At 36.2% G+C, this 18,271-nt stretch overlaps 1 protein-coding gene across 7 annotated transcripts in view, besides 2 other annotated features; it reads right to left on the bottom strand.

The window, feature by feature from the left end:
- Positions 1 to 17,287, bottom strand: part of ELMOD2 (ELMO domain containing 2) — a 29,603-nt gene extending 12,316 nt beyond the window's left edge. For 4 of the 7 annotated variants that reach the window (XR_001741193.2, XM_005262885.4, XM_011531818.3 and 1 more), the window contains exons 1-6: positions 16,838 to 17,287; positions 15,885 to 16,035; positions 13,961 to 13,989; positions 5,625 to 5,722; positions 3,914 to 4,043; positions 1,154 to 1,287 (exon numbers count right to left, since the gene is read on the bottom strand). Coding sequence is in view for 6 of the 7 variants with exons in the window: in XM_005262885.4 (XP_005262942.1) it covers positions 1,154 to 1,287; positions 3,914 to 4,043; positions 5,625 to 5,722; positions 13,961 to 13,989; positions 15,885 to 16,035; positions 16,838 to 16,864 (569 nt within the window). In the remaining variant the exon portion in view is untranslated. The remainder of the gene's footprint in view (positions 1 to 1,153; positions 1,288 to 3,913; positions 4,044 to 5,624; positions 5,723 to 13,960; positions 13,990 to 15,884; positions 16,036 to 16,837) is intronic. The other 3 variants (XM_011531819.3, XM_047449980.1, NM_153702.4) reach the window with 2 other exon arrangements.
- Positions 16,926 to 17,045: a silencer, noted in NCBI's record as "silent region_15711". NCBI's record gives its function as "represses an Ori minimal core promoter by ATAC-STARR-seq in GM12878 lymphoblastoid cells {active_cell/tissue: GM12878}" and the evidence as "EXISTENCE:reporter gene assay evidence [ECO:0000049][PMID:35858748]".
- Positions 17,236 to 17,585: a silencer, noted in NCBI's record as "silent region_15710". NCBI's record gives its function as "represses an Ori minimal core promoter by ATAC-STARR-seq in GM12878 lymphoblastoid cells {active_cell/tissue: GM12878}" and the evidence as "EXISTENCE:reporter gene assay evidence [ECO:0000049][PMID:35858748]".

The raw sequence follows: 18,271 nt of genomic DNA, 5'->3' as shown, positions 1-18,271 counted from the left end.
CAAACTACTCTTAAAATATTCAATCTGTAATATAGAACAACTTTTAATTTCCTTCCTGAATTTAGTTAACCTCAATCTTAACAGTATCAAATGGTGAAAAATAAACATCTGTAAACAATTAAAAAAACCATCAATATTAACCTAATTTAGCCAATATCAGGATTTTTTCACAGTAAGAATTATCCAAACTTTAATAGTCTAGCCTTCCCATTCTAGACATTTTATAGTCTATAAATCACAATTTCATGGACAGACCCAAACACTACAATTTGTACATTTGCATATCCTTATAGGAGGAAATTAATCTTCCAGGCTATCTTCTAGAATAGTTTTGTCTATCAATTGTGACTTCACTTACATATTTGGGGATTTCGATACATGTAGCTAATCGTAAGTATTAAAGAAGATAAAGGAGAGAAAGTTCATACGGTAGTCTATACCAAGTCAGGAATGCAGGTAGGTAAGTTGTCACAGGTGGTGAAGAACATATATAAAGAGACTTTATTATCACCTTATCTGGTTATATTTGCCAAAATAGAATCAGAGAGCCGAGAGAGAAAAAGCAAGTGAATAAAGGCAGTAGGAGCATACATAATTCTTTAAGAGGTATCAGAATGGAAATCAGAAAGAAAAAGGAGAGGAAAGCATTGGTAAGTAAAGAAATCACATACACAATTATATTTCCACCAATGTCTTTTTTTTTTTTTTTTTAAAGACAGGGTCTTGCTCTGTCACCCAGGCTGGAGGTGGCACAATCATGACTCACTGTAAACTTGAATTCCTGGGCTCAGGCAATCCTTCTGCCTCAGCCTCCCAAGTGGCTGGACTACAGGCAAATGCCACCATGCCTGGCTAATTATTTTTGTAGAGACAGGGTCTCACTATATTGCTCAGATTGGTCTCAAACTTCTGGCTTCAAGTGATCCTCTGGCCTCAGCCTCCCAAAGTGCTGGGATTACAGGCGTGAGCCACTGTGCCTGGCCTCCAATATCTTCATATTGTTGCCAACACATTAGCAAATACTTCCAGCACTGCAGTTATTAAAATTCAGAGATAGTATGAATCAACTAGATCACTTCTTATTAGAAGTAACTAGATCAGAGATTAAATGTAATTTCATTTAGGGAAGAAAAGAAAGTTTACTTTCACTTACACAAGATTGATTAACCCAAGTATGCCCATGCCTCTGAAGTCTGTCTTGGGATCATCACCCTGAAAACCAATTTCAGCCCACTGCTTGGAGATTCTAGCGTTTAACTTCTTCGTGGGCATTAGAAGATTCCAAAGCTGTACAAATATATTTCCATTATTAAGACATTTTCTTTCTCATAGCTTGTAACTAGTAATTTAATGCTATCAAATAACTTTTGTAGAAAAACCATAGGTTAAGCAAAGACTTTAGAACATTTTTCAATTATCCTAAAACACGCAGCACATTTATTCCCATTAAAAAGACTGGTATAAAGAACAGATTTTGAAAAGATAACAAATAATACAGAAAAATATTAAACAATGAGATGTCTTTATTTACTAATTAATACAGATATGCCCAGAACTGGTAAACTGCTTGAGAAAAACACAGTATTTTAGGAACTTAGCCCTTGCTTCAGATACTGTATAGTTAAATAGGCTCTATTATAATGGTGGGTTAATAGTCCCTAATCAGAATGAAAATAGGTATAAGACAGAAGAGCATGAAGAAATGATACTGATAGCATTCCAACTTGTTTTACAAATTTTCAGTTTAAAAAAATATGATTTGGTTTTAAATAAATATCTTTAATGATGAGGATTTAAGAAAAACTATCAAGCTGGGCATGGTGGCTCATGCCTGTAATCCCAGCCCTTTGGGAGGCCGAGGCAGGTGGATCACCAGGTCAGGAGATCAAGACCATCCTGGCTAACACGGTGAAACCCCATCTCCACTAAAAATACAAAAAATTAGCCAGGCGTGGTGGCAGGCTACTCAGGAGGCTGAGACAGGAGAATGGCGTGAACCCGGGAGGCGGAGCTTGCAGTGAGCTGAGATGGCGCCACTGCACTCCAGCCTGGGCGACAGAGCAAGACTCCATCTCAAAAAGGAAAAAAAAAAAAACAAACCAACTATCAAATATTACATACCAATAAACTACTCAATGCAAAATAAAGAAAATTTATTGTTTAAATTCAATACCACAAGCCATCAAATGAAAGAAACTTACGGAAGTTGACTAAAGAAGGTTTGCGAAAATTTGCAAAACAGAAATACTTTCATTTTTTTCCCATTTCATTACCATTTAAAGCACTGTTGAATAAGGACCCCTAATGAAAGGAGTATTCTGTTACCTAAAATAAAATGTGAAGTGACCTTGCTTTAAAACAGGGTCAAGACTGGCTCTGAAGCTAAATCCAATCATTACATTAGGTTTACCTGGTCACTACTTTTATTATCAACACCTGTGACTTGCTTACATTAGCCTCTCTCCATGAATTCTGCAAGGAGTTTGATTATGCCAATGATAAGGCCTCAGTGATGTGGTGAGAGCCACAGTGTAGAACCACTAGTATTAAAAATTTAATATGCATGAATATTGAATTTCTGGGTTCCATTCCTGGAAATTCTAATTTTCTAAGTCTAAGGTGGAACTTTGGAGTGTACATAGTAAATGCTATTTAACGCTAGTAAAGGTGGTCCTTGGACTACACTTAAAGCAAGACAGATTACATAGCTCTTCACCCAGTAAGACTGCTGAGTATGTGTAGTGTAGAACTGAATTTCACCATGAAGCACCAAGGTAAAATTCCCTGGACTAGAGGGCTAGGACTTGTACTTTTTTCCCTCAAAAGGAAAGGTATCGTGTAGCAAGGGCCTAACATGAAGGGAAAAATGATGACAATGGGGACAGAAATAGCAGTTAATCCTCAGTAAGTGCCAGGTACTATTTTAAACACTTTAAATATAAAAACTCCTCCATACAATAACCCTTTGAGATACATATTTGTATCATCCTCATTTAACAAAATACACTTTTAATGAAAAAAAAGCCTTTATTGTTTTTAAACTTGTATCGCTTAGTGTTATTTAGATAGTATCAATGTTGTTTCCACAGTACTTTTTGTTATAAAGAACTCCTAATTCCAACTGCAATGCGCTATTTTCTTTAACGATTTTAAAATAAAATTGGAATAGGTGTAGAGGATGGGCAGGAGATTCAGCTCTGTTCCAGGCCCTACCATTCTAGTACTAAAGCAAATTGCTTCATCTCCCTAGTCCTTAGAGTCTTCATCCCTCAAACAAAGGGACTAGTCTAGATGATCTGTAAAGCTTACTCTAGGTCTATTACTCTTTAATTTTGGCACCTCATTGGCTTTATGCATTTATACTTTAGAAATAAGAAAAAGGAAAATTCTAAGTAAATAATTTTTACTTTCTTAAAGTTTAAATCTTTTGTGGCATTGCTTGGCAATTAACATTCCATAAGTCCCAAAAGATTGGACAAAATAATCTGAAAAGGGACACACATGTTTTCAACTTGTAAGTAGCTGAAAAAATGCTTAACTTATATGAGCAATTTGTATAAAAAGTAGGAGAAAAATCTGAAACTTGTAGACATATACTTTTTGGTTGAAAAGATCTCTATAGGTTTTTATTTCAGAAATAAAAACATTAAAATAAAATTTATTTGAATATATTTATTCATATAAATATATATTCATTATATATTTATAATAATGCTTATCAGAAAATGATAAAAATACCTAACTAAAAATCTTTCCATATCAGTGAAATCCAGCATAATAAAATTCTCTAAGGGCAAAGAAACCATATAAGCCTAGCCATATAAGCCTCTAGAATTTGCAGACTTTACTTAGCTGAAGCCTGATTTATTTTTCTAGCGTTCAACAACTCCACATAAAGAAAACAGAAATTTACCTTCATGAGTAGCTCTTCATGCTGTAGGTTATCAGAATCATATGGCCTTTTCCTCACACTTTCTACATCCAAATACAGCTGTTTATAACCAGTTATCTGCAGTAAGCACATCTTCATGCATATTTTAAAACTAAAAATGATAAAATTATTTTTAAAAAGCATACCCTCTTATCACAATAAAGTCTTTCATAGCTTGTGGTTCATATGTCTATTTAGAAAGCATTTCCTGGCTTTCAGTTTAATATAAGACCCACCAAAGGCCACCTTAAATACAAAACATTATGTAAAGTACTATATAGGATACAAGGCCTAGAAAGAGGGCAAGACATGGTAGGAATGGCAAACTTCACAACTGTAAGGATTTGTGAAGGATTTTCTCTTCATGTTTTCTCTGGGCAATCCTATACATTCCTAAATCTTTATTGCCAGATATCACCAGTAGACTTAATTTTCCGAGTATATATAAAACAAATAGCTCCACAACAGGTTATCTCAGCTCTAAATAAAACTGCTTCTCTTCCCTAAAGAAACATGCTCTTTCTTTAGTGTCTAGATCTATTAATGACATCGCTACCCATTAGTTCCCCAAGCTACAACACTCCAAGTTCTGACCTGCCTCTCTCCATCACAATGTATCAAAAGATCCCCATACGCTAAACCTTTCTATCTCTGAAATGTCCTTCAAAGCAATCCTCATAGCACTCTTTCTCCTACTGTATTTATGCCTTTGTCATTTCTTACCTGAATAACTCAAATTTCCTATTCTTTATTCCTTCTGCCAGCCTCCCACATTATCAAATCTACTCTCCATCTTCCTAAAATACATATCTAAAAATGTAGCTTGTTTGCTTAAAAACCAGAGGACAACATCTACATCCTTCAGTATGGCATACAAGACTCTGCAATGTATCAATCTAGCATTTCACTCATTTCTCCAGCCACTACTCTGCTCATATTCAATGATCCAGCTACAAATAATTCCCTATCATTCCAGATACAAAAGTATTAATATTTCTATGTCTCTGTGCCTTGTTGGCACTGTTCCCCTACCCATTCATCAAGGTCCAGTGTAAATACCACCTCTTGGGTGGAACTATCCTCAGTTCCCTCCTAGACCGTTCCTCATCTCAGCTGAAATAAATTGTTCCTTCCTCTATATTCACATAGAAAATGCTGAATGAAGGAAAAAGTGTGAAATACTATGTCAACATACCAGCGCTGGGAACACAGAAATGGGATAAGTCCTCTTCTTATGGAACTTAGAATTTACAGAGGGAAGGACAAGAGTTAATCAATGACTATAGTACAATGGGTTAAATGGTATGATAGCACTATGAGATGCCACAGCAATGCACCTAACTCAGAATGGAGGAGCCTGGTAGGACCTTACTAGAGGAGGACACAGGAACTGTATTTCAAAAGACATAGTAGCCAAAGTTATTAACCTTGGGAAAGTCATGGTAAGACATCTTGAAGAAGGCAGATGATATACTGGCATTAGTACTGGACTGGAAACCAAGAGATACAGGTTCTAGTCCCGATTCTATCACTGCCCTCTCTGGATCTCAACTGCTCCTCTTGTGAAGTGAGAGCGCTGAATCAGATGATCTCCACAAACCCTTCAGCTCTAAAGTGTTACAACAGTGTGTGATATTGATACCTCACAGGCTATAAATGCATAATAAAAAAGAATAATGTAAAAAACGCACACCTGGCATCCTTCTCAGGGTTAATATTCTTTTCCTTCATAATATCATCTACATATTTGTCCACTTCACTCTGAACAACATGTGTCGCCTTCTGTAAAACCTATTTATGTAAAAGAAAGCCAAATGAGAAAAATTCTTTGTAGCTGAAAAAGACATAGTTGTGAGACATTTAATCAACCTTACAAAGTAGATATTAAAAATGCAAAATAAACCCAGTTTGTTTCAACCAGTTTATTTCACATTTTCTCTAGGGCTAAATTCACATATATATATATAGTTTTATAATAAAAGAACAGCAACATGATGTACCAGAGGAAGGCTTCCTCAACTGAGTCAACAGGTTCTCAGCTGATGAGTTCTCAGCAAATGAGCTGCCACCATAGTGTTTACGAAGTAGATATTTTAATTACATAATAAAAATCTTGAATGCATAAGTTTAAAAAATTAAATGCAGAAAAGAGTTGAATCTCAAAATCTTGTCTCCAGAGATCACCACTGGTAACAAACTGGCATTGACAAAAACAAAATCAGATCAAATTTGAAAACTGTAGGAATTTACTGTGCATACTGAAGAACAGTTCACAAACTAAGACTTCAAATCAAAAATGGTAAGAAAAATAAAAATAGAGTCCTTAGTTTAGATATACCCCAAGGCGAGAGAGAGAGAGAGAGAGAGAGAGAGAGAGAGAGAGAGAAAGAAACAGATTTCCCCAGAGAAAAGTAAAAGGTGAGAAGAAAATGGTCAAAGATCTATTAATAACAATCAGTAAAGATACAGATATGGTCAACAAAGTCTAGCTTGTCCAATCCTGAGATAATATGAGTACAGGAAGAGTGTTGAAGCTTAAATACCAGCACTGGTAAAAGGACTACCTTCGCCATGGGTAGTCATGGCAAAAGCCATACCTTTTGCATGTATTACAAACTCCTAAAACATTAAAAATCCAGTTCAATGTCACTTCCTCTGTGAAGTCTTCCCCAGCCCTAGAGTTACCTACTTCCTTTCACAGTCATACTTCAGTTAGAGAGCACTGACCACACCATATTTTCTCTATGTTCTCCACCAGCATTTGTCTCTCTTATTTACTCTTATATCTTGAGCGTCTAGGATAGCACATTACTGATTACATGCTCAAAACTTTGTTAAATACATTATGAACAAATGACTGATTGAATGAACTTGCCCAAGGCATATATAAATTTAGGGCAGAGTCAAGACGAGAAACCACATCTAGTTTCTAAGCAAATACTCTTTCCTGTATATACTATTCCATTACTTTTTTAAAAATTGATTTATAATTTAAATACAGTGAAAGGCACAGATGTTGTCTGATCTGTTTTGACAAATACATACATCCAGATAATCCACATCCCTACTATGATACAGAACATTTCTATCATCCCAGAAAGTTCGTTTATGCCCCTTTTCAATCAATTCTTCCTTCAAGAAGCAACCACTGTTCTGATTTCTACCACCATAGCTTAGCTGTATGCCCATAAATGGAATCAAAGTACGTACTATTTTGTGTCTGGCTTCTTTTGTTCAACATAACGTTTCTAGGATTCATCCACATTCTTACTCATATCCACATTCTTTCTCATATCTGTAATTTGTCCCTTTTAATTGTTGAGTTGTATTGCATGAATATACCTCAATTTGCTTATTCATTCTCCTGGTACTGGAAATTTGCATTGTTCCCAGTTTGGGACCATACTTTATTATACTTTTGGTAAATATATATTTTCATTTCTTAGACACCTAAGAGTGAAATTACTAGGGCAGTATGTGTTTAACTTTGAATGAAATTGCCAAAACCACTTCCAAAGTGATAATATCATCTTCTGCTCCAACTGGTGTTTCCAACATTAGTGTTGTTCGTCTATTTCATTTAGGTAACTTTTAGGTATGTAGTGTCTTCTCACTGTGATTTTAATTTGCATTTCCCTGATGACTAATAATGCTGAGCACTTTTCCAAGTGTGTATACATACACACACACACACACGTATATATACACTTTTGTCATGTGACTGTTCAAAGCTCTTGCCCATTAAAAATTCTGTTGCCTTTTTATTACTGAGTTATAAAAGTTATTTACTAGATACAAGTCCCTTATCAGATACATATGCTGCAAATACATTCTCAGTCTGTGGCCTGCCTATTCCTTTCCTTAAAGGTATCATTGATAAGCAGTTTTATTTTGATGAAGTTTAACTTTTCAATTTTTTTAAGTGGCAGCATAACTCAAGGTGGAAGATATTCTCCTATGCTTGCTTTCAGAAACTTTAAAGTTTTAGCTTAAACATAGGTCTAACATCCGTATTAAATTAGTTTTCATGTATGGTAAGAGATTGAAGTTGAGGTTTCTTTTTTCCCCCATACATACCCAGTTGTTCCAGCACTATTTATTGAAAAGACTTTCTTCTCCTCATTGAATTGCTCTGATACTCTTGTTAAAAATTGTGACATATTAGGTGTGGTCAATTTCTGGTCTCTCATCTGTTATATTCATCTTTTGACTATAAAGTCTTAAAGTCAGGTAGTAGGGGTCCTTTTAGAAGGTTACGTGGGCTATTCTAGGTTCCTTCCATTTCTTTACAAACTTTAGAATGAGCTTGTCAGAATCTTCAAAAGTAGTCTGCAGGGGTTTTCACTGGAACTGCATTGAATCCATAGATCGATTTGGGAAATAACATCTTAATACTGAGTCCTCCAATGGATGAATACAGTGTATGGTTCCATTTTCATCTTTCTCAGCAATTTTCTCTGGGAGTTTTAGTGCAGAAGTCTTATGCATCTTTCATTAAATTTAGCCCTGAATATTTTATGTTTTCTGGATGCTTTTGTAAGTGGTATTGTTCTTTATTTTCCAAAAGTTTGTTGCTAACATACAGTAGTATACCATGTCCTGTAACACTATTAAATTCATTTACTAATAATGCCAGTAGTTTTTGTAGATTTCTTAGGATTTTCTACATTCACAAAGTACGTCATCTGTTAATATAATTTATTTCTTTCCAATCATTATGTCTTATATTGCTTCTTCTTGCCTTATTGCACTACTTAGGATCTCTAGTATGATGCTGAATAAAAGCAGAGAAAGTACATATATTTGTCTTGTTCCCAGTTAAATGTGGTGAGCATTCAATAATTCAGTGTTATGTATCATGTTAGCTGCAGGTTTTTCACAGCCTTTCATAGGTTGAGAAAGTTCCTTCTATGCCTAGTTGAGATTTTTTAATCATGAATTGGTACTGAATTCTGTCAAAACAGTTTTTCAGTATCTGCTGAAATGTCCATATTTTTCTGATTTACTCTGTTAATGTGGTAAATTACATACATTGATTCTGAAAACTCAACATGACAGGCCAGGTGCAATGGCTCATGCCTGTAATCCCAGCACTTCAAGAGGCAGAGATGGGTGGATCACCTGATGTCAGGAGTTTGAGACCAGCCTGGGAAACATGGTAAAACCCTGTCTCTATTAAAAATACAAAAATTAGCCAGGCATGGTGGTGTGCACCTGCAACCCCAGCTACTCGAGAAAGACTGAGGTGAGAGAACTGCTTGAACCCGGGAGGTGGAGGGTGCAGTGAGCCGAGATCACGCCACTGCACACCAGCCTGGTCAACAGAGCAAGGCTCTGTATCAAAAAAAAAAAAAAAACAACTCAACATGACATATTATCCTTTTTATGTATTACTAGGATCAATTTGCTAGCATTCTGTTAAGGACTTTTGCACCTATATTCATGAAGGACATTGAACTGTAATTTTCATATATTATATTGTCTATATCTGGCTTTAGTATCAAGATGATACTGGCCCCATAAAGTGTGTTTCTTTCTATTCTATTTCCTAGGAGTTAATGTAATAGTGGTATTATTTCTTCTCCCTTAAATGTTTAACACTTCACTAGTGAAGCCAAGATTAGAGATTTGTGAAAAAATTTTAAATTACAGTTTCTATTTCTTTTGTAAGTATACTACTATTTAGATTTTTAATCTCTTTTTGTGTTAGTTTGGTAAGTTGTTTTTCAAGGACTTCGTCCATTTTGTGTAAAATCAAACAATTTACTGGCATAAAGTTGTTCATAGAATCCCCTTATTATACTTTGAATGACTATAGGCTGTAGTGGAAAAGTAGAGGCCCAAAAATGCAAATGTGCATCACTATAGCATTAAAAGAAAACTAAACTAATGCCGTAAAATGTATTTATTATTCAACTATTTAACAGCTACATTATTATTTAAACCCTAAGACGGCAGCTGCAATAAAAAGACAGCCACCAAAAACACCAATAGATTGCCAAAGTATTCCTCCCTAACTTTCAGAAATTCAAATGCCTGTATATGCGTAAGTACAGTGGAGCTTTGCTCCATTGTCATATATTGCATGGAAGCCAGACTTCTTAGCAGAATATTGAATTAGACTCCTCAAATTCGAATAAGTCATTAATTTTTATTTATAAATCCCAGTTTGTTAACCCTTAATATCTAATTGATAAATAGTCCTTAATCTAAAATATAAGCAAATAAGATTCAATTTTTAACAAAGAAAGAATGCACACTGTGGAACAGTGCACAGTCCAACATGATCATACTTCAAGATCACTGCTTTAGGGAATCACTCTGAATAGATTAAAATCACTTTTATTCACAGCAATCATTGGTAATGCTAAGTACTCTCAAGTACCAAAGAGGTTTTCATGAATATCAAATTTCTAAAATGATTATGGTATATATTGGCTTAATTATATTATCATTAATATTATTAGTAACCACTATTTGTTGAATACTTACTAAGTATTGGGCATTCTCTTAGACTGTTTTCATAGTAATATCTCTAATTTCAAAACAACTATGTGGGTATGAATAGCTTTTAGAATGAGAAAATAAGTAACTTGTACACAGTCAAACAACTGGTAATTGATAATATCAGGATTTGAACCCAGACTTTTTTATCGAATAAAAATGTAATTAGGTAAACCAAAATATCACAAAATGAGAAATAGATTTACCCTACAAAGTAAATGGAATATACAAATTAGGTGCAATACACACATAAATTATATTTTTAAATTGATAAGGCTACCTCTGTTTATTGGAAAGTTTGTCTTAGATTTAAAACCTTAAAAGAATAAATCGTTAAGTGATTTAATTTCAGTATTTACCCATTTGTTGACCACTCTCTTTGCAGGATGCCCTCCAAAGTACTATAGCAATTTCTATTTTTGAATAATGAAGTTCATAAGAATACAATTTTAATGTTTACTTTTCAAGTGAACTTTTTAATAGCAAGAAACAGAGGTAAAAAATGATGAACATTTTATTTTTCTTTAACTTGTAACCACTACTTTAAAATCCCCAAACACTCTAGTCTACATTTACCTCTTCCTTCTCTAAACTTCTACTTACAATTACATTCAATTCCAGTCTTCTTTTGTATATCTTTTGAATATCCCAAAGACCCTGGTTGAATACTGAACATGTGGTAGTCATTCAAATCCTTGGACGGATTTGACCAAGGCACTGGAGTTCTTAAATGTAGCATCTTATGTATTGTTCCACTTAAGCTTGGCATGATTTTACCACACATACAATCCCATTAATAAATTCTGTGACCAAAACTGTTGTTACAAATGCAGTTATAACAATTACACTGATAGATGTGATACTGAGTCCCCAGTTCCAGAACCTCTACAGTAAATTAGTAAATAAAAGAAACACTACACTCTATTCTGAAAAAAGTTAATTTTCATTTACTTATTATTCTTTATCCTCTTATTTTTCTCACTTATTCATTCATTCACTCAATAAATATTCAGAGCCTTATCACATTCCAGGCACTGTTTCAGGTACTAGAAAAACATCAGTGAACAAAACAACAACAAAAAATAAACAATGCCTTTTTCTTTTCAGGAATGGAAAAATAAGTAAGTAAAATATTTAGTACGCTAGTGATGGTCTGTGCTATGGTGAAACAATTAAGGAAAGGGGATCATAAAGAGAGACAAAGGTATACCCTTAGGTAGAGAATGGTCATGGAAAATCTCATAGAGAATGTCATAACTGAGGAAAAACCTGAAAATGAGGAAGTGAGCTAAGCTTTTAAGCGGGAGAAGATAATTCTACTTAAACAGAAGACCTGGTGCAAAGGTCATAAACCAGAAGCATGCTGATGTGTTTGGAAAATAACAGGCAGCATAGTGGTGATGACCAGTGAGCAAGGCAAGAACAGTAGTAGATAAAGTCAGAGAGTAATGAAGGGGACCAGATAAGAGTTTTAGTGGACAGCAATGGCAGTGTTGGACAACTTCCAGGCTGAGAGATGTCAAGGTTATTTGGAGGAACACACTACTGAAAAAATTGGTTGGAAGCTGGGATTGTGGGTATAACATAAAGAGCTCAGCTATGGTTTTACTCTCTTTACAATGTCGAGGCTTAAAGAAAACAGATTTCACAGAACAATTCATTCTAGAGGGTTCAGCACCCAAATAGTTCCAAACCAACTTGTTTAAGGTCAGTTTGAAAAACATACACAGTTTCCTATCGAAACAAAGTTAAAGCAGTTATGATCCACAACAGTCCCCAGACAGCATACTAATATGCTATTAGTGCCTCAAGACACTGCCCTCACCAGCAGGAACGGCTGCAGCAGTATCACCTGGGAACATGTTAGAAATGCAATCAGAACCAGACCAGAAATTCCGGGGATGGGGCCCAATAATCTGTGTTTTAATAGGCCTCCAGAAGATTTTGATTCTTCCTTAAGTTTAAGGACTACTCTTGTAATGGACCTGAAATATAACACCTCCCCAAGTGCATCTGCTAAAATTTGTAATATTGTTACTTTGGGAAACTGCATCCTATGTTTCAAATAAAGGAACTATACAAATAAATAAGGTATAAATAAATTTTGAGAACCAGCAACCTGTTAGCTTTCAGGACCTCCACATCCTCATTTTAAAAAATATATTAATCACTCTCTAACAATTCTGAACAAAGGAGTGTAACTCTGGACTCTTCCCCCAAATATTCACTTATATATATGAGTTATTCTTAAATAGACCATTCTTAAAGAGTACAACTAAATCATTAAAGTACCTATTTTAAAGGTTACTCTTCAGAACATAACAGATATGCTTGCAACTCTCAAGAAGGTCTATTTTATTTCTGGCACGATTCATAATACTAGACAGTAGCAAATCAACATTTTTGACCTTGAGCCACATTTTACATCATGATCAATAACAAACATTCATGTGGATGTCCAAAATACACACAGATGTACACAGAAATATTTAAAATAATTATAATAGTATAAAAAATTCCTAAAATATATTTAACCATATTATGACCAATGGTTTCTAAATATTTTCTGTTCTATTCCTATTATTGTTTAATACTGGTTGTGTTCTATTATGGGATTTCAAACAATGGTCTAGATGACCCGTATTCTATCCTTGCCACACCAAATAATCTACATGTAGACAAAATTGTGAACTACAATAGGGAAGTAACAGCATGTGGTAGACTGAATTATTGGTCCCAATTCTTCATTACCTTGTAATTGAATTATACAACCTACTCCCTACCATAGCCTTACGGTGGGCATATCATATTTCTCCACCCCTTGACTTGGGCTTGGCCATGTAACTTGTTTTAACTAACAGGTTGCTAACAGACATGACACAAAGAGACTTAAAATATATTTGTGTAGTTGGGCCTTTAGTTATCCATGGTGAAAACATTCACCAGATACCTGTTAACCCCCTACCTGAGTCCCAGATGAGACAAATGGAATAGACAGGAACTTGGCCCCAGCTTGAAGTAAGGCTTCTCCAGCTGACCCATAGACATATGAGCAAGAAACAACGTATCGTTTTATGCCCCTGAGATTTTATTATAGTTTGTTACACAGCAAAAGCTGACTAATACATAGCATGAATTATGACTTATTTTAGCTCAAAAGGTACACAACCCAGGGTTTTCTCTATCCTAAGTTGCTTTTCTCTCATATAATCTATCCTGAGGACACAGTCTAAAAGACGACTTTCCTCCTAAGGCCCTGCTTTCCTAAAAGCTATCAACTCTTAAAGCAAAATAAACAAATAAAACCTCAGGACAGGACAAATTATTCAAGTATTTTCTTTGAAATACACACGAAAAACACATATATAGAGAAATGTTTGAAAACAGAATATTACCTCTAAACGGGGAAAATTTCACTCAATGCTCACTATAGAAAACACTCTTCTAGCAGGGCACTTTTTTTTTTTTAAGAAAAAATATGTCCACGTTAAGTTTTCTAGAGTTACCACCTTTATGTTATCCTACCTTATTCTTGGAGTATGTCAAGGAATTTTCTGAAATGACAAAAAAAAAAAAAAGATGTTATCACTTAAATGCTGTTTGTCAATTACCCTATAATAAACAACTAGTAAAAATATCAAACCAGTAACAAACTAATAGTTCCAGGAGATATAATTTCTATATAACAGGAAGCATTTTAAAATTTAATCTTACAGTATAAACATATGATTTCAAAAAACTCAACCAAACACAAAATACCTATTCAAAGAGGTGACACCAACCTCATTACCTGGGGTCATATGTTTCTGTTTAGACCCCAAAGTGTCTACTAACCACTGCAAATTCACCCATAATTGTGTCACAGTAGCTCAGGTCCCAGAAACTCATCTTAAGACTACAATGAGAGTGCTCTCTACTGCATTTTCATTTGTTAGCCTGAGCCTTTAGATTTGAGGTGATAGCAACCAAATCGTACAACAAATAGGCAAGGACTTCAGATTATCTGGTCAACCCTTCTGTCACCAGACAAATAGCTTCTCCATTCCTGGTTTCTATATCAAGAATCACAGGAACATTTTTATTGGTCTATTTAAAAAATTTTCTGGCACATTTACGAATAATCTTTTCTCAGCAATTTGAAAAATTTAGGAAAAATGCTTTTGCCACAAACAAATGCCTTTATATATATTCTTCCCCCACACTATAAAACACCAACCCATACTGCCTGAAGAGATTTCTTATCAAGAGGTACTTTGTTCTTTTGAGTAGTCAAAAGGGCAAATTAAAAGAGCAGCAATAATTTAAGTCAACCATGAAGTTGTAAGAAAACTAGGAAAGTAATTAAACTTAATCAACCAGCTGCTATGAGGCAGCGTCTGTCTGTCATTCTTCCGATGTTGTCTTGGATACAGGTTCCATTTGCCAATACTCCACTCTCTTAACCTGACAGGGGTTGATTTCTCAGTCGAAGCACACTTGATCAACACAAAAAAAAAATCTGGCTAATTCACAATTTTCCGTTTAACACAGAGAGCATGAGCTAGAGCACTTCTCTGCTCTTCCTTACCCTGGCTGAAAAGAAGCGACTTCAAAACACAGTTCTTACTCATCTGTGTTCAAATTTTAGAGTAAAATTTTCAATGAAGCACTGAAAACTGATGTATTTTAGAAGGTAACAGAGCAACACTGTTCAACAGAAATATAACACAAGCCAAAATGTGACCCATTTGTGTACTTTAAAATTCTGTATAGCCACATTAAAGTAAAAAGAAACAGATAACATTTTAATATATTTTTAACCCAACATATCCAAAATATTACCATTTCAACATACAAAGAATATAAACAATTACTGGGACTTTTTACATTTTCTTATAAGTCTTTGAAATACAGTTTATATTTTACACTTACAGCACATCTCAATTTAGACTAGCCACATTTCAAATGCTCAATATAATGTGGCTATTGGCTATGGTATTGGACAGTGAGAATGAGTCTAATAATCTTTCCTAGAGACCACTGGATACATAATTACAGGCCTTTCATAAGTAACAGTAAGAAAGTAAAAGACTGATGAAGGATCCTAAGTATAAAAATGGATGTAGACTGAGGCACTCATTCTTCCCACCATGTGAGTGAAAATTTCAAAGGGATTATGTAAGTATAGAAATTTTTCACCAGAAAATAGGTTGCAACTATAATCTAAGGAATAACCGATAAACTTCAGGAGCCAGAGAATTCTTTCCACACATAAGCAATTAAATAACCACTTTTTCTATAAATTCATACAATTTTAGAGCTGAAGGAGTCAAAGCGGGACTTCAGAGCTTATGAAATTCAGTTTAAGTGACTTGTCAGGATACAAAAGAAATACATCTGTCACTGTGAGTCCTGAGAAAAACACTCCGTTAAACTTTTATTAGTACTTTTTCTTTTTGAATAACATTACCTATCCTGTGTGTCCTTTGTGCACCTACATAGGTATCAAATATTCGCTGCAATTCACACTTCCCAGTCATCTGTCGTAATAGCCATTTCATCCAAAATCGAAAAAAGTGCCCATAGAAGAACTCCCACAAAGAAATAAACATTTTTTTTTCCTGGAGGAGGGAAACATACAAGACAAGCTTAATGACCTTAAACTGAATTTTAAAATTTAAAAAGTTTATACAACTGATCAAATCTCAAATTATGTATCTATCATTTCATTGTGTCTGTTTTGACAGTTTAATTAGGCATTTAAAAACAATGGCAGGTGTAATATATACCGCTATTAATTGATGATCAAATGGCCAATTAATCACTTTTTCAAAACTAAAATTCAAACAATGTACTCAAACTATTCAATGGCTTGAAAGAGTAACAGAATGGTTTGCACTTTTTGCTAAATAATTGTATTTCATATCTTAGTTTCCTAACTTCCCATTCTTTGAGAACTGGGGCTCAACAGTTCAAGATCAAGAGGACTCCAACTAATCAACAATTAAAATATATACCAAAACATCAGAGTTGTTTTTATAGAATACACTCTTCTTATCCCATGTGGATAATTCGTTACAACTGTCCCAGTCAGGTGATGCCAGCAAATAAAAACACTACAAACTTAAGTATACAAGTTGAACACTGAGTATATAACACCTTAGCTCATTCTTGATTTTCCATTCAATAGGTCAAGGGCAGAAATACTAACAAGTTTTTGTTTTGCTAAGTACACACTCGATACAACTATATCTTATGCCATAAGAAAATTCTTCAGCTTCTAAATGAAAAAGTCAGGGAGATACTAGTGAGAGGGAGATACTTAAAAACAAAATTGCTCGTCTCCTTCCTGCCTTAAACATTCCCACAGACACGTCACCTCTGGACTAGGGCCTGAGGAGGGACTGTCGAAGTTCGAAGTACCCGCAGGTCAGTGCAGAAAGAGCGCATAGCACAGCTGGGTTGATCATTATCTTGAAAATCAAGCCATCTAGTCCGCGCTCATTAGGACAAAAGCGCAGAACTGCCGAGCAGAGGGGATGCACGCGTAGCGGCGCCTGAGCACCCCAGGGCTCTGGGCGTCTCTGCGCCGACCCCCCTCGCGCGCCGCCCGCGAATGGGAGGGCAGGGCTCGCACAAAGACCCGCCGGCCCAGGCGCCCCCGGGTTCCCGCAGAACCCCGCGGGGCTCGCGAGCCCGCGCGCTCTCAGTGCAGCCGCACCGAGGCATCCGGGGCAAGAGGAAAAGAAACAGCAGCCACCTCACAGGAGCGGAAGAACTAGGGGGAGCAGGAGCTGCCTCGGTTTCCCCACTGCAAACAGCCGGCAACGGAAACGACGGAACACTCCCTTCAAGCACCGCGACCCGGAAGTCAGGGAGCGAGGCCGCGGACCCGCCTTCCCAGGGCCACTGCCCGCCCCGCCCCTCCGGCCTCTTCCGATTGGCCCGCGCTCCACCTATTGCTAACGCTGGAGAGAGGTCGAGCTGAGTGGCCCAGGCGCGAGGGCTCAGATACTAGGGACGCCCAGACGGTTTCCCTGGCAACGGCGGCCAGGAGCCCCGCCCCGCGCCGGAGTAGCGCCTCCTAGCGCTGCGCTGGAGACTTTTCCCTCCTTGAACCTCAGGTCCTTAGCGCGGGTTGACACCTTGTACTATTCCTAGGCTCCAAGCGCGGAAGAAACCCTGTGCTTACGGTAACTTATAGTGCCTTAGTTACAAAAGCGCTTTCATCTGCATTGAATCTTAATTCTGTGAAGTAATTATGAATAACTCCACTTTATGCACGAGAAAAGGGAACCGGCTACTTGACTGTGGCCAATACGTGGCAGATGAGGAAAGTCCATGTGTTGAGAAACGAAGTTTGGACTTTATCCTATAATACTATAGGTCTAAAAGTTAATTTATCAAATGTTTATTCCCTAACTGGTTGTTTTTGTTGAAAAAGTAATTTCGTGATTACTTTTTAAAAACCTCAAGCAGTAAGTTTCTTAATTCAACAAGTATTTGTTGATTGTTAGCACAGGCAGTGTTCCAAAAGGCAGTCAAACACGAAACAAACAGCCAAATATTTAATATGTCAGATGCTACTAAATGTTAAGGGTATAGGGGTTGTTAGCTAAGGGGTAATGGGGAGTCTGTGGGGGAAGTCATTGCATACAGTGTGGTCAAGGAAGTCTCATTATTAACGTGGCATTTTGGCCTCATTGAACGAAGTAAGGGAGTTTACTGTGGGAGTATCTGGAGGGAGAGTGATCCAGGCACCAGAATGACAAGTGCAAAGACCTTGAATTGGGAGGGTTTTTGAAATGTTGGAGGAAGAGCAAGAAGGCCGGGGTGGCTGGAGGAGAAAGAGCAAGG

This window comes from Homo sapiens, chromosome 4 (assembly GCF_000001405.40).
Source record: "Homo sapiens chromosome 4, GRCh38.p14 Primary Assembly".
In the NCBI taxonomy this organism is placed as follows: domain Eukaryota; kingdom Metazoa; phylum Chordata; class Mammalia; order Primates; family Hominidae; genus Homo; species Homo sapiens.
This window is presented reverse-complemented; position numbering and strand designations above follow the sequence as displayed.